We start from the raw sequence: 15863 nt of genomic DNA, 5'->3' as shown, positions 1-15863 counted from the left end.
GTTTGAGCCCAGGAGTTCAAGACCAGCTTGAGCAACATAGTGACACTTTGTCTTTACAAAAAAATGCACAGATTAGCTCGGCATGGTGGTGTGTGCCTGTAGTCCCAGCTACTTGGAAGGCTGAGGTGGGAGAATTGCCCGAGCCCGGGAGGTAGAGGCTGCAGTGAGCTGTGATTTCACCACTGCAGTCCAGCCTGGGCCACAGAGCAAGACCCTGTCTTAAAAAAAAAAAAAAAGAAAAAAAGGAAATGGAGATTTTTCTCCAGTCTATCTTTACATACCATGAGAGATTCTTATTTTCAGTCTTTTTATTTGGAGGGAAAAGAGCAGCAGCAGTCTTACCAGAGTGTATTTCACTTCTATAAGTCAAGAACAGTTTAGTTCCTAGTGAACTATAAGGAAATTTAAAAATTGAGGTTGGTGGACTTGAGCTTTTCGAAGGCTGCTTTGTCCCTTATCTAATTCATTCCTTCCCCTTGGGAGCCAATCCTTGAGATGCCTCAGAGCTCAGCTACAGTGGTGATGTTTAGGCCGCAGTAGATTCCCCTTTACTCCTATTGCCATAGACTGTCCTGCATCCCACCAGATCCTCCAGGCCCTGGTGCCCTTATAGTCTCAGGGAACTTGGGGACATTGACCCCTCCCAGAGCTTTTGCGAAGAAATTTAGTGCTCCTCTTTTTCACGGGTTACAGGGTTCCCTCAGTCATTAAAACACGTTTCTCTTCCCTTTAACCGATAGGTGCCCTGGGCTTTTTGTTTCTGTGTCTGCAGACCAGTGTCAATCAGATTTTTCCAGGTGTCCTTCTACACCTCTCCCCACGTGGCCACACCTGTCTCCTGCCAGGTCTAGCAGAGACAGTATTGGTGGGCATTGGCCCATCACTTGGAACTTGAGGCTCATCCTTGGGATTTCCCTCAATTTTTGTTTTTGTTTTGTTAACTTGGAAGGTCAATTTTTGTGTAACCTTGGTGTTTTTGTCCTGAGAATTTCAATGTAACATGATATGAAAAATTCAGGTCTGTGTTGCTAATACAAAATTTTAATTTTTCTTTACAGGTCAACTTTGTAGTGTGCCAACTCTTTGCCTTGCTAGCAGCCATTTGGTTTCGAACTTATCTACATTCAAGCAAAACTAGCTCTTTTATAAGACATGTAGTTGCTACCCTTTTGGGCCTTTATCTTGCACTTTTTTGCTTTGGATGGTAAGTAATTATTTTGATCCTTTTAAAATGAAGACTATTTGGATGTATTTGAGAATTGAGTGTGTGGAAAGATACATTATGTAGGGTTTTGTTCTTATATTTACTTAAAAAGTTTTTTCTCCAGGCCAACTTTCATATTTTTATTTTTGAAACAAAAAATAACGAATGGGAAATGGGCTTGCTCTCTCTTTAGTCTTAGAGGAAAATTTACTATTTATAATTTGTGGAAAGACAGATGAAGAGGATATAAAGGCATTTGATTCTGTCATGAGTAGTTCTTTACACCTATTTTGCAAATCTTTTATACTGACAGAAAAGCCATTTAAATGTGTTTTTGTTTGCCTGTTTTTTCTCTGGGCAAGTAGCTTTTAAGAGCCTGATAAAGACTATGGATAGAACTTTATTGCCATTTTTTAGATTCTGCCATTACCAAAAAGAGGCTTTTTGTTTGTTCATTTGTCTGTTCTTCCTGGGGAAGAATTATTTATGATGGAAAGCTTTTATTTCTGACTTTTCAAATGGATGTTGGTGTTTTCTTTCATTAGGTCTCTTTCTCAATCCTCAGGGATACTCCGAGAGCCTTAAATACAGAAATACTGTACTTCCTGTTTGTTACAGGAAGTAACAAACAAATGTTAGCTGTGCATGCTGAAGAAATCAGAAGGGCACATTGTCTTGGCAAAACAGCAGAAACTCTCAGCGGCAGTCTCTTTGTGGTCTCTTCCTGAGCTTGCTTTCTTACGTGAGCACTTGTGCTGCATGCTCATCTGCTGTAGTGTTCGCCATTCACAGTGAAGGACTTCTAGGCTTGCTCTTCTGCAGATTGTTGTTTGATATCAGAATTCCCTGAGAGGTTGAAAATGCACTCACTTGGTCTGTGGGGTGTAGAATCTCTGGGACTTTGATGAGCTTCTGTGTTTGTTCTAGGATGTTGTTTTTGATAGTTATGAGGATTGGAATACACTGATATTTCTTAATCTAATTTTTGCCTGTGGCAATTGCAAGTGTTTCCTAGAAACTCATGAAAAATTAATTAGGGATAATTTATTCAGTCTCTACCATATTACCTGTGCTAGGTACTGCCCTGGTAGATAGTGGTTAGTATTGAGATTTAAATATGACCTCTTAAATAAGACCCAAGTCTGGTCTTTTTTGCTTCATTGACATCACATTTATATCATCACAGTTTTTTAAGGTTTCTCAGGTGATACTATTTAAACTTTTCATAAATCATGCCATGGAGTAGTGTATATTTTTCAAACTTTTGATTATGGCGCTTTTCAAACACAAAGGTACAAAGAACAATATAGTGAGCCCTCATATGCCCATCACTCAGCTTCAGATTATTAAAATTCCACCATTCTTGTTTTATCCTTTCTCCAACTTATTTTTGTAGAGTATTTTAAAGTATATCCCAGTCTATACATTTCATCCACAAATAACTTTGATATTCAGTATATATTTGTGTAGCATATTTTCATAATGCATTGGGAAGGGCTTGTAGTTCATATTGGCCAACTCCAGGGGACACCATTCACTCTGTGGTCTATGGAGACAGAGTAGAAGATAAAAATATAAACAATATCTCCTACAGTTGTGTAACATGGAGGTACTGCCAAAGATGAGGAGGCATCTCTTTACCTAGAAATCTTTTACTGAGGAAGTGTTCTCTTGCTGTGAAGTCTTCTTGGATGCCTTATAACACAATGTCACAAGTAACCCGACATTGTTAATGTCAGGTAGTCTGAAGTACTTCAAATTATATGTGATAACCAGGATTTCTTATTTTTTCAATTTTTTAAGACAAGGTCTCACTTTGTTGCCCATGCTGGAGTGCAGTGACATGATCACAGCTCACTGCAGTCTCAACCTCCTGGGCTCAGGTGATTGATCCTCCCACCTCAGCCTCCTGGGCAGCTGGGATTACAGGTGTGTGCCACCACACCCGGCTAATTTTTTGTAGAGGTGGAGTTTTGCTATGTTGTCCAAACTGGTGTTGAACTCCCAGACTCAAGCAGTCTGCCCAGCTCGACTTCCCAAAGTGTTGGGATTACAGGTATGAGCCACTGTGCCCAGCCAGGATTTTTATTTTTATTTTTCAAATGAGTTCTCTATTTTTTTCTTAAAGGAGAAAGCTTTCTGTATTCTTTCTTTGGAAAGACGGATTGTTTATGCCTCTGTACCATGTGTAAGATAACTCTTTGCTAACTGGAATTAACTAATAGGGATATATTCTTTTGATTTGCATTTCAGTACTTTCTTTTGTAGGCTCAAAGGCAATCGTATCTGCTATTGATTTTGACAACTTCCCTTTTGGAAAACATGTTAGTACTCTGTAAATATACAGGCATGCCTCAGAGATGTTACAGATTTGATTCTAGACCCCCATAATACAGTGAATATTGTAATAAAGCAAGTCACACAAATTTTTTTGGTTTCCCAGTGCATTTAAAAGTTATATTTACCCTATATTCTGGTCTATTAAGTATGCAATATAATTATGTCTAAAAAAACAATGTACATACCTTAATTGAAAAATTTTTTATTGGTAAAAAAATACTAAGGATCATCTGGGCCTTCAGTGGGTTGTAATCTCTTTGTTGGTAGAGTGTCTTGCTTTGATGTTGATGGCTGCTCACTTATCAGAGTGTTGTCTGCTGAAGGTTTGGGTTGCTGTGGCAAATTCTAAAAATAAGGCAACAATGAAGTTTACCATAGTGATTGACTCTTCTTTTCACAAAAGATTTCTCTGTAGCATGTGATGCTGTTTGACAGCCTTTTACCCACAGTAGAACTTTCAAAATTGGAGTCAAACCCTGCTGCTGCTTTATCAACTAAGTTTATGTAATATTCTAAATTCTGAATTAAAATTACAGTCCAAGATGGCTGATTAGAGACTTTCAGTGTTCCTCAGCCACTTGGAAATAGCACGATAGTACATAAAGATCAACTCTCTGAGCTTTAATTCAAGAAGGAAAACAGGAATTCACCAGAATTGTGAAGGACACCCCAGATCCTGAAGAGAATGCTGGCAAACAGCCCCCGTGATAGCATCCAGTTGATAAAAGTGAGTGAAGCCCCAGTATGTGAGAGAGGCAGGGAGACCTTCTCTATGACTCACCTTTCCACTGGGGATCTGAGCAACCCAGTCTGAGGGAGAGCACTTTATTTCTCCCAAGCCCTGGAGCCAACTTGGGGAGAGGGTTGGAGACGCTGTGAAGGACAGACATCGTGAAAAGCTGCAGACATTCTCCCAGACCTGGGATGGAGAACAGGACACCATTTTTAATCCAGGCACGTATGAAGCCAGCCATTCCTTGGTGACTCAGCAGCATGGCAGTGTAGGCATTTCAGTCTTAGGCCAGAGATTAGAGCACCTGCTCTGGAGTGGGGTAGGGGCCTCCATAGCCAGAATTGTGGAAAGCACCTCAGCTGTAGGGCTAGAATTGTGCTTTCCTCCATTGCAAGCCTGGGGCAGGAGGAGAGCTGCTAAGTTGCACTTTCTCCTGGGCAGCAACACTTGCAGCCAAGGCCAGCTTGGCGACCTGGAACTGATCCACCTGTGTCATTGTTGGGTGCCCCACTCTGCTCTACTGATACTGTGGTATGACAGGGCCGCCTCTGCTCCACTCCCAGGCAGAAATCCAGACATTTGGAGCACCTGTTTGCCTGGACCAGCAGACTGAGCCACCCCACCCCTCCTGGACACAGATCATGGTGAAGTGAGGCTCTCTCTGCTCCACACCCAGGCAAATCTACAGGCATTCAGAGCATCTGCTTGTCTGGTTCAGCAGCCTGAGCCACCCCAGTCTTCCTGGACATAGACTGTGGTTCAAGGGTATCCTGTCTGTTCCATGCCCAGGCAGATTTCCAAGCATCTGGAATGGCAACTCTTCTAGATTAGAAGTTTAAGCCATCTCCCATTCCTGTGTAGAGAACATGGAGCCCAGATGGTTTCCCAGCTGCATGCCTAGGCACAATCCTGCATTCTCGGTGGCTGCCCTCTGGATTCTCCCTTGGCGCTAGTGTCTGTGCCTGCCACTGGGGGATCTGTAGGCCAACCTGCTCTGTTTGGCCCTGCTCTTTGTGGCCCCTGCCCCCCAGGGCTGAGCAGGGAGCTCAGACCACTATATACTCCACAAACCAGCTTATTGCCTGAGGCAATAGAGAGCTTCTGCCAGTAAACAAGGATCAAGTATATACGCAGCTATGTTGGCTGCAGCTGGCTTTCACCTATAAGCACCATCTGTGGGCTTGTAGGTTGAACTCCACAGCCTGATATAAAACCTGCCAAAAGAAGTGTATAGGGCTATAGAAGCAAAGCCCAAAAGCCCTACCTAGCATTCTCTACAGTCACACTCATTAAGAAGGGAGAAAAAGGAAAAAGGAAAGAAGAAATAACATTATAGGGAAGGAAAGAAAAAGAAAAAAATCTTACCTGCATGAAAATAATTAAAAAATTAGAAGTGCCAGCATCTCTAGAACCAGTGCAAGAATTTTGGCATCATGTAGTGACACTGCCAAATGATTGCACTAGATCTCCAGCAATGGACCCTAACCAGAATGGAAACTCAGAAATGACAGATAAAGAATCAAATCATGGATTGTAAGGAAGCTCAGTGAGATCCAAGACAAAGTTGAAAATCAACACAAAGAAACTTCTAAGGCAATCCAGGAAATGAAGGAAGAGATAAACATCTGTAAAAGAAATCAGTCAGAGCTTTTGGAATTGAAAAACTCACTCAAGGAATTTTAAAATACAATTGAAAGCTTTATCAGTAGACTGGACCAAAAGAATTTCAGAGCTTGAAGACGAGTCTTTGGAACTAACCCAATCAGACAAAAATAAAAAAGAATTTTAATAAATGAACAAAATCTTCAGGAAATATGGGATTATGTAAAGCAACCAAATGTACAAATTATTAGCATTCCTGAGAGAGAAGGAGAAAAAGCAAACAACCTGGAAAATGTATTTGAGGGAATTATTCAGGAAAGCTTCCCTAATCCTGCTAGAAGTAGCCATCCATATATAAGAAATCCAGAAAACATCTGCAAGATAGTATACAAAATGATTATCAGCAAGGCATATAGTCACCAGACTGTCCAAGGTCAATGCTAAAGAAAAAAATCTTAAAGGCAGCTCAAGAAAAAGGGCAAGTTATATACAAAGGGAACCCCATCAGGCTAACCTTACAAGCCAGGACAGATTGGAGAGCTATTTTCAGCATTCTTAAAGAAATTCCAACCAAGAATTTCATAACCCACCAAACTAAACTTCTTAAGTGAAGGAGAACTAGACTCTTTTCTAGACAAGCAAGCACTAAGGGAATTTGTTACCATCAGACCAGCCTTAGATCCTTAAGGGAGTTCTAACACAGAAACAAAGAACAATACCTGCTACCACAAAAAACAACATAAATATATAGCCCACAGACCCTGTAAAGCAGCCACACATTAGAAACTACAAAGCAACCAGGTAACAATGTCATGATAGAATGAAAACCTCACATATCAATATTAACTTTGAATATAAATGACCTACATGCTCCACTTAAAAGGCAGAGTGGCAAGTGGAATAAAAACAAAAGACCCATTCTTCTGCGGTTTTCAAGAGCCCCATCTCACACATAATGACATCCACAGGCTCAAAGTAAAGGGTTGGAGAAAGATCTACCATGCAAATGGAAAAAACAAAAGCAGAGGTTGCTTGCTATTCTTATATATGATAAAACCGGCAACAGTAAAAAAAAAAAAAAAAGGGCGTTACATAATGAAACCTACATGCATAAAATCATAAAATTACATACAATTCTACCTGGATAAAATTACATAAAATCCTCCCTCTCAAGGGTTCAACTCAAGAAGATTTAACTATCCTAGTGTGTACATGTGCAACATTGGAGCACTTAGATTGATAAGACAGGTACTTCTAGACCTATGAAAAGACTTAGCCACACATTAATAGTGGGGAACTTTAACTCCCACTGACAGCATTAGACAGATCAATGAGGCAGAAAACTAATAAATTAATTCTGTACTTATAGTCATCACTTGACTAGGTGGACCTAATAAACATCTACAGAATACTCCACCCATCAGCCACAGAATATACATTTTTCTCATCTGCACATGGAATGTACTTCAAGATCAACCACATGCTCAGGCATAAAGCAAGTCTCAATACATTCAGAAAAACTGAAATCATACTATCTATACTCTTGGACCACAATTGAATAAAAATGGAAATCAATACCAAGAAGATCTCTCAAAACCACACAATTACATGGAAATTAAACAATTTGCTCCTGAATTGCTTCGGATAAACAATGAAATCAAAGCAGAAGCATAAAAATTCTTTGAAATAAATGAAAACAGAGACACAATATACCAAAATCTCTGGGATGCAGCAAAAGCGTGTTAAGAGGAAAGTATACAGTGTTAAACACCCACCTCAAAAAGTTAGATCTCAAATTAATGATCTAACATCACACCTAGAGGAACTAGAAAAACGAGAACAAACTAACCTCAAAGCTAGCAGAAGAAAAGAAATAACTAAAATTAGAGCTGAACTGAATGAAATTGAGACCCAAAAATCCAACCAAAGACTCAATAAAACCAAAAGTTTGTTCTTTAAAAGGATAAAGAGGACCAATAGATTGCTAGCTAGATTAACAAAGAGAGAAAATCCAAATAAGCACAATCAGAATTGACAAAGGTGACATTACAACTGATCCCACAGAAATACAAAAAGATCCTCAGAGACTATTATAAACATCTCTGTGCACACAAACTAGAAAATCTAGAGGAAATGGATAAATTCCTGGAAATACACAGTCTCTTAAGATTGAATCAGGAAGAAATTGAAACACCAAACAGACCAATATTGAGTTCTAAAATCGAACCTGTAATGAAAAACCTACCAACCACAAAAAAAGCCCTTGACCAGATAGATTCACAGCTGATTTCTATTAGATGTGCTAAGAAGAGCTAGTGGCAGGGCACGGTGGCTCACACTTGTAATCCCAGCACATTGGGAGGCCAAGGTGGGTATATTACCTGAGGTCAGGAGTTCAAGACCAGCCTGGCCAACATGGCAAGACCCCATCTCTACTAAAAACACAAAAATTAGCCAGGTGTGGTGACACATGTCTGTAATCCCAGCTACTCGGGAGGCTGAGGCAGGAGAATTGCTTGAGCTCAGGAGACAGAGATTGCAGTGAGCCCAGACCATGCCACTGTACTCCAGCCTGGCTGACAGAGTGAGACTCTGTCTCAAAAAAAAAAAAAAAGCTGGTACCAGTATTCTACTGAAAGTATTACAAAAAAATTGAGGAGAAGGGACCCCTTATTAACTCATTCTGTGAAGCCAGCATCACTCTGATACCAAAACCTGGCAGACACAACAAAGAAAGAAAACTACAGGCCAATATCCCTGACGAACATAGATGCAAAAATACCATAGCAAGCCAAACTCAACAGCACATCAAAAAGTTAATTCACCATGATGAAGTAGGCTTTATTCCTCAGATGCAAGGATGGTTCAACATATACAAATCAATGGTTCACCACATAAATAGAATTAAAAATGAAAACTATATGATCATCTCAATAGATGTGAGAAAAGCTTTCAATAAAATCCAACATCCTGTCATGATAAAAAAAACTCTTAGGAAAGTAGGCATCAAAGGAACATACCTCAAAATACCAAGAGCCATCAATGATAAGCCCACAGCCAATATCATACTGAATGGGCAAAAACTGGAAGCATTTGACTGGGTGCAGTGGCTCATGCCTGTAATCCCAGCACTTTGGGAGGCCGAGACGGGTGGATCATGAGGTCAGAAGATCGAGACCATCCTGGCTAACACGGTGAAACCCCGTCTCTACTAAAAATACAAAAAATTAGCCAGGCATGGTGGCAGGCGCCTGTAGTACCAGCTGCTTGGGTGACTGAGGCAGGAGAATGGCATGAACCCGGGAGGCGGAGCTTGCAGTGAGCTGAGATCGCGCCACTGCACTCCAGCCTGAGTGACAGAGCGAGACTGTGTCTCAAACAAACAAACAAACAAAAAACAAACTGGAAGCATTTCCTTGAGAACAGGAACAAGAGAAGGATGCCCACTCTCACCACTCATGTTCAACATAGTTCTGGAAGTGCTAGCCACAGCAATTAAGCAAGAGAAAGAAATAAAAGGCATCCAAATAGGAAAAGAAGAAGTCAAACTCTCGGTCTTTGCTGATGATATGATTCTATACTTAGAAAACCCTAAAGACTCCTCCAGAAGGCTGTTAGAACTGATAAATGATTGTAGCAAGATTTCAGGCTACAAGATCGATGTATAGAAATCAGCAGCATTTCTGTATAGTAATAATGTTCAAGCTGAGAGCCAAATCAAGAATGTAATCTCATTTGCAATAGCCACACAGAAAAAAAAATACCTAGGAATACATCTAACTAGGGAGGCGAAAGATCTTTACAAGGAGAGCTTCAAAACACTGCTAAAAGAAATCATAGATGACACAACAAATGGAAAAACCTCTCAGCTTATGGATTGGAAGAGTCAATGCCACTAAAATGGCCATACTGCCCAAAGCAATTTCTATCAAACTGCCAATGTCATTTTTTACAGAATTGGAAAAAACTATACTAAAATTCATATGGAACCAAAAAAGAGCCCAAATAGCCAAAGCAATCTTAAGCAAAATGAACAAAGCTGGAGGCATCATACTACATGACTTAAAACTATACTATAAGGATGCAGTAACCAAAACAGCATGATACTGGTACAAAACAGACACAAACCAATGGAACAGAATAGAAGACTGCAAAATAAAGCCACACACCTACAGCCATCTAATTGTCAACAAAATTGACAAAAATAAAGAGTGGGGAAAGGACTCCCTAGTCAATAAATGGTGCTGGTATAATTGGCTAGCCATATGCAGAAGAATGAAACTGGACCCCTACCTTTCACCATGTACAAAAATTAACTCAAGATGGATTAGAGATTTAAATGTAAGACCTCAAACTGTAAGAACCCTGAAAAAAAAAAAAGCAAGGAACATCATTTTATCTGGGCATTGACCTTGGGAAAGGATTTATGACTAAGTCCTCAAAAGCAATTGCAACAAAAACAAAAATTGACAAGTGGAACCTAATTAGAACCAAAAAGCTTCTGCACAGCAAAAGAAACTGTCAAGAGTAAACAGACCACCTACAGAATGGGAGAAAATATTTGCTAACTGTGGATTTGACAAAGGTTTAATATCCAGCATCTATAAGGAACTTAAACAGTTGGACAGGCAAAAAGCAAATAATCCCATTAAAAATGGGCAAAAGGCATGAAAAGACACTTTTCAAAAGAAGACATACAAGTGTTCAACAAACATGAAAAAATTACTGCACATTACTAATCAGAGAAATGCAAATCAAAACCACAATGAGATACCATCTCATACCAGTCAGAATGGTTATTATTAAAAAGTCAAAACACAACGGATATTGGCAAGGCTATGGAGAAAAGGGAATGCTTCATACAACGTTGGGAAAGTAAGTTAGTTCGGCCATTGTGGAAAGCAGTTTGCAGATTTCTTAAAGAACTTGAAACAACTACCGTTTGACCCAGCAATCCCATTACTGGGTATATACCCCAAGGAAAACAAATTATTCTACCAAAAAGACACATGCATTTCCCTGTTAATCGCAGCACTGTTCACAATAGCAAAGACATGGAATCAACCTAGATGCTCATCAGTGCTGGACTGGATGAAGAAAATGTGGTACATATACACCATGGAATACCACACAGCTGTAAAAAGAAGGAAATCATGCCCTTTGCAGCAACATGGATGGAGCTGGAGGCCATTATCCTATGCAAATTAACATAGCAGCAGAAAACCAAATATTGCATGGTCTCACTTATAAGTGGGAGCTAAACATTTGGGTACTCATGGACATAAAGATGGCAGCAGTGGTCACTGGGGACTACTAGAGGTGGGAGATAAGGAGGGGAGCAACAGTTGAAAAACTAACTGTTGGGTACTATGCTCAGTACCTGGGTGAGGGGATCATTCATACCCTAAACCTCATCATTATGGAATATACCTAGGTACTGCATATGTATCCCCTGAGTATAAAATAGAAGTTGGAAAAAAAATTTTTTGTTGTTGTTATTTCAACAGTGTTCACAGTATCTTTACCAGGAGTAGACTCCATCTGAAGGAATCACTTTCTTTGCTCATCCATAAGAAGCAATTACTCATCTGTTGAGAAGTTTTATCATGAGATTGCAGTAATCAGTCACATCTTTAGGCTTCACTTCTAGTTTTCTTGCTATTTTCCACCACATCTGGAGTTATTTCCTCCACTGAAGTCTTGAACCCCTCAATGTCATCCATGAGGGTTGGAATCAACCTCTTCCAAACTGCTGCTAATGTTTATATTTTGACCTCCTTCCATGAATCACAGATGTATTTAGTGGCATCTAGAATGGTGAATCCTTTCCAGAAAGTTTTCTATTTAGTTTGCCTAGATCCGTCAGAGGAATCACTATCTATGGCAGCTATAGCCCTACGAAATGTATTTCTTAAATAACAAGACTTGAAAGTCAGAATTGCTCCCTGATCTGCAGGCTGCATAATGGGTATTGTGTTAGCAGGTGTGGAAACAACATTAATCTCCTTGTCCACCTCTGTCAGAGCTCTTGGATAATCAGGTACATTGTCAATATGCAGGAATATTTTGAAAGGAATCTTTTTTTTCTGAGCAATGGATCTCGACAAGGGGCTTATAATATTCAGTAAACAATGCTGCAGAGCTGCTGTGGTTCAGACTTTGTTTTTCCATTAACAGAGTACAGGCAGAATCGATTTAGCGTAATTCTTAAGGACTCCAGCATTTTTGGAATGGTAAATGAACATTGGCTTCAACTTAAAGTCACCAGCTGCATTAGCCTGTCCTTTGAAGCTTTGAAATCAGGTGTTGACTTCTCCTCTCTAGCTATGAAAGTTCTCTATGGCATCTTCTTCCAGTAGTAGGCTATTAGATCTACACTGAAAATCTTTTGCTTAGTGTAGCCGCCTTCATCAGTGATCTTAGTTAGATCTTCTGGGTAACTTGCTGCAGCATCTAGATAACCTCAGCACTTGCTGCTTCACCTTGGATTTTTATTTCTGGAGATGACTTCTTTCCTTAAACATCATGAGCCAGTGTCTGCTAGCTTCAAAATTTTCTTCTCCAGCTTCATCTCTCTCCACCCTACTAGAATTGAAGAGAGTTAGGGTCTTGATCTGGACTAGGCTTTGGCTTAAGGAATGTTTGGCTGGTTTGAGCTTCTGTCCAGACAATTAAACTTTCTCTGTATTAGCAGCAATGCTGTTTTGCTTTCTTACCATTTGTGTGTTCAGTGGAGTAGCACTGTCAGTTTCCTTCCATAACCTTTTCTTTGTATTTACGGCATGACTAACTGGTGCAAGAGGCTTAGCTTTCAGCCTGTCTTGGCTTTTGACATACCATCGTCACTAAGCTTAATCATTTTTAGTTTTTGATTTAACGTGAGAGACATACAACTTTTCCTTTCACTTGAACACTTAGAGGCCATTGTAGGTTAATTAATTGGCCTAATTTCAATAATTGTTGTCTCTCCGGAATGGGGAAGCCTCAGGAGAGGGAGAGAGACAGAGGAAGACAGAGACTGCCGGTCAGTGGAGCAGTCAGAACACACCTAACATTTATCAATTAAGTTCTTATGTGGGCACAGTTTGTGGTGCCCCCAAACGATTACAGTAGTAATATCAAAGATCGCTGATCACAGATCACTATAACAGGTAAAATAATATTGAAAAAGTTTGAAATATTGTTGAGAATTACCAAAATACGCCAGAGAGACATGAAGTCTCAGCACGTGCTATTGGAAAAATGGTGCCAAGAGGCTGGCACGATGCAGGGTTGCCACAAACCTTCTAGTTGGAAAAATCTCAGTATCTGCAAAGCACGGTAAGGCAAAGTGCAGTAAAACAAGTCATGCCTGTAACTGATCGTTTACCTGCTTCTCTTTGGTCTTAGCTTTTTTCTTTTAAAACAATCATCTGCAAGTTCCTTTTAAGTGAGAATTAATTTAGACTTTAATTATTTATTTAAATGTCCTTGATAATAACACTATAGGGTAATGGAATAGAGCTTAAACTCTGAAGTCAGGCAAACCTGTATTCCAGTGTGGGTGCCTTGGTCTGGTGGCTGTATGACTTTGGACATGTTATTTAGCCACTCTGAGCTTCACTTTCCTCATCTGTGACATAGAACGAATGATTACTGTGAGAAATAAATCTGTAAAACTACAGAAAACATGGCGTGATAGCTAGTCATTACGAACATGGGAAGTTACTCAGAGTCATTCATCTGTTATTACCATCATCCAGAGTGATGCAGATTGGAAATTTTTGTGTTTATCTAATCTCTTTTTTAGCATATATCGTACAGTATTGAAGTAATCTATTTATTATTGTCTTTCTCTCTAGACTGGGAGCTCTGTGAGGACATAAACGGTCTCATTGACTTGTATTTCTAGTGTTCAGTACAGTGCCTTTCAGAAGGTAGACATTCAGTAAAGATTAGTGGAACAATTGAAGAGGTGTTTTCAACCTTTTTTTAAACCTGTGCTCTTTTTTTTTTCTAAAAATAAACCTTATGCCTTTAGTGTGACTTGAAATTCAGAAGAGTTAAAATGTGATATCTGAAAACAAACTAACGTTTTGTGACAAAGCATTGTTTCATTTTCAAAGCACTTTTTAGGTAGCTTAAAAGATGATGATCCACAGCCCATGGGGTTCCATTCTACCCGGCTGCATTCCTTAGAGAATCAGCCAGTGGATAAATTGCCCCGAAACAACGTGAGTTTTGATGTTAGTTGGAATATACTGACTAGATAGATGATCTTTGTTTCCTCAGTTCTGAAATCACGAGGGTTGAATGATAATAGACTTTTAACATATCTATCTTTAATTTTTACTTTACTAATAATACTTAATAGTTGAGTGCTTACTACGTGCTAGATAACCCCATCAACGCTTTTAATGTATTATCTCTTAATCCTGAAAAATCTCAAGTGGCCACTGTGTTTATTATGGTCACTTTACCAATGAGAACAAGCAGAGTAGCTCAGTACAGAAAATTAGGAAGATTATCACCAGTGCATTCATTGAGTGGAAAAGCAACTGAATGCTTGTTGTGGAGGTCAGTGAGATAGAGGTAAATGCAGATTCACTTTCTACTGCTGAACTTGGATTGTTGCAGCAACGAAGGTTTACACAGCAGGAGGCTGCCCAAGTATTATACTGCTCTCCAAAGATGGCCAAACATATCACCTGAATGGCGATGTCAGGAGAGGAGGGGGCACCTTAAGGTGATATGAGGCACCATAGCACTGTTTGAGAAGTAAGACTTGTAGCTTCTAAAGTTATGATATATCCCTCATATTTCAAGAAATTTAACGTAGCAAAGGAACACTTTTTTCCCCCAAGAGTCCTCAAAAATGTGTTTTCCGTGTTTAAGATAAGTACCTGTATTGAGTTCTCCTCGCAGTTTAAGAAGCCCTTAAGGGTGTTCTAGCAGACCTTGTCACCTTTCGCACGAAGTCAGGAGTCAGCCAGTGAATTGCTAGTGTTGGCAACACATAAGAGGTAGATCATAAATTTGAAAAGTGTGTGTTTTAATTGTTTTTTAAAAAAGCTTTCTTCTATTTCCTTTTATACTCATTTAGGTTTTTCTGCTTCCTCTGATTATAATGGTATTAAAAAAAGGCCAACATTATTTTCGTGTGTGTGTGTGTGTGTGTGTGTGTGTGTGTGTGTCAGTCAAACAGATAGACTGACCTATTCTGTACAGTGGGTCAAATAAGTTTCTCCTACAGGCCTGCCTTGGAGACTATTACTGGTTTATAATATTTCTATGGAAAAATGTGTTCAAAATTTTGCATAACTTTTCCACATTGGAGGTGCCTGTTATTCCATAAAGATTAAAAGTTATTTGAATCATAGGTTAACACCCTTAGTAGTAGTTTAAACTAGATTTAGAGGTTCAAGAAAAAAAATAAAGTACTTTAAATTGTGCCTGATGATTCGAAAATTTTATTTTAAATTGTTCATTCCCCCAAAGGGGAAAGAAAGTGGAGAGAGTGTGTGTGCATGCACGGACATGCATAAATTAGGGATAGTTTTGATTGATTTTAGTCACAGACATCCTAATCATGTTTTGCCTGAATTTTGTGAAATGAGTAAATTATCTAATTTAATGGTGGATTTCAAGAATATTGGAATATTAGAAAATACCATGTCATGGGCTGGCCACGGTGGCTCATGCCCGTAGTCCCAGTACTTTGGGAGGCTGAGGTGGGCAGATCACGAGGTCAGGAGTTCAAGACCAGCCTGGCCAACATAGTGAAACCCTGTCTTTACCAAAAATACAAAAAATTAGCTGGGTGTGGTGGTGGGCACCTGTAATCCCAGCTACTCGGGAGGCTGAGGCAGGAGAATCACTTGAACCTGGGAGGCAGAGGTTGCAGTGAGCTGAGATCGCGCCACTGTACTCCAGCCCAGGCAACAGTGTGAGACTCCACCTCAAAAAAAGAAAAGACTGTCATGTTAGCCAGGATGTTTGTAGATA

At 39.6% G+C, this 15863-nt stretch overlaps 1 protein-coding gene across 13 annotated transcripts in view; it reads left to right on the top strand.

Annotated features, from left to right (window-relative positions):
* The window catches only part of MBOAT2 (membrane bound glycerophospholipid O-acyltransferase 2), a 150995-nt gene that overhangs the window by 43984 nt on the left and 91148 nt on the right, over positions 1 to 15863 (top strand). For 8 of the 13 annotated variants that reach the window (NR_135602.2, NR_135606.2, NR_135598.2 and 5 more), the window contains one exon: positions 1059 to 1204. The exons of the other annotated variants lie outside the window; for them this stretch is intronic. Coding sequence is in view for 1 of the 8 variants with exons in the window: in NM_138799.4 (NP_620154.2) it covers positions 1059 to 1204 (146 nt within the window). In the remaining 7 variants the exon portion in view is untranslated. The remainder of the gene's footprint in view (positions 1 to 1058; positions 1205 to 15863) is intronic. 13 annotated transcript variants of the gene reach the window in all.

This window comes from Homo sapiens, chromosome 2, assembly GCF_000001405.40.
Source record: "Homo sapiens chromosome 2, GRCh38.p14 Primary Assembly".
NCBI lineage: Eukaryota > Metazoa > Chordata > Mammalia > Primates > Hominidae > Homo > Homo sapiens.
This window is presented reverse-complemented; position numbering and strand designations above follow the sequence as displayed.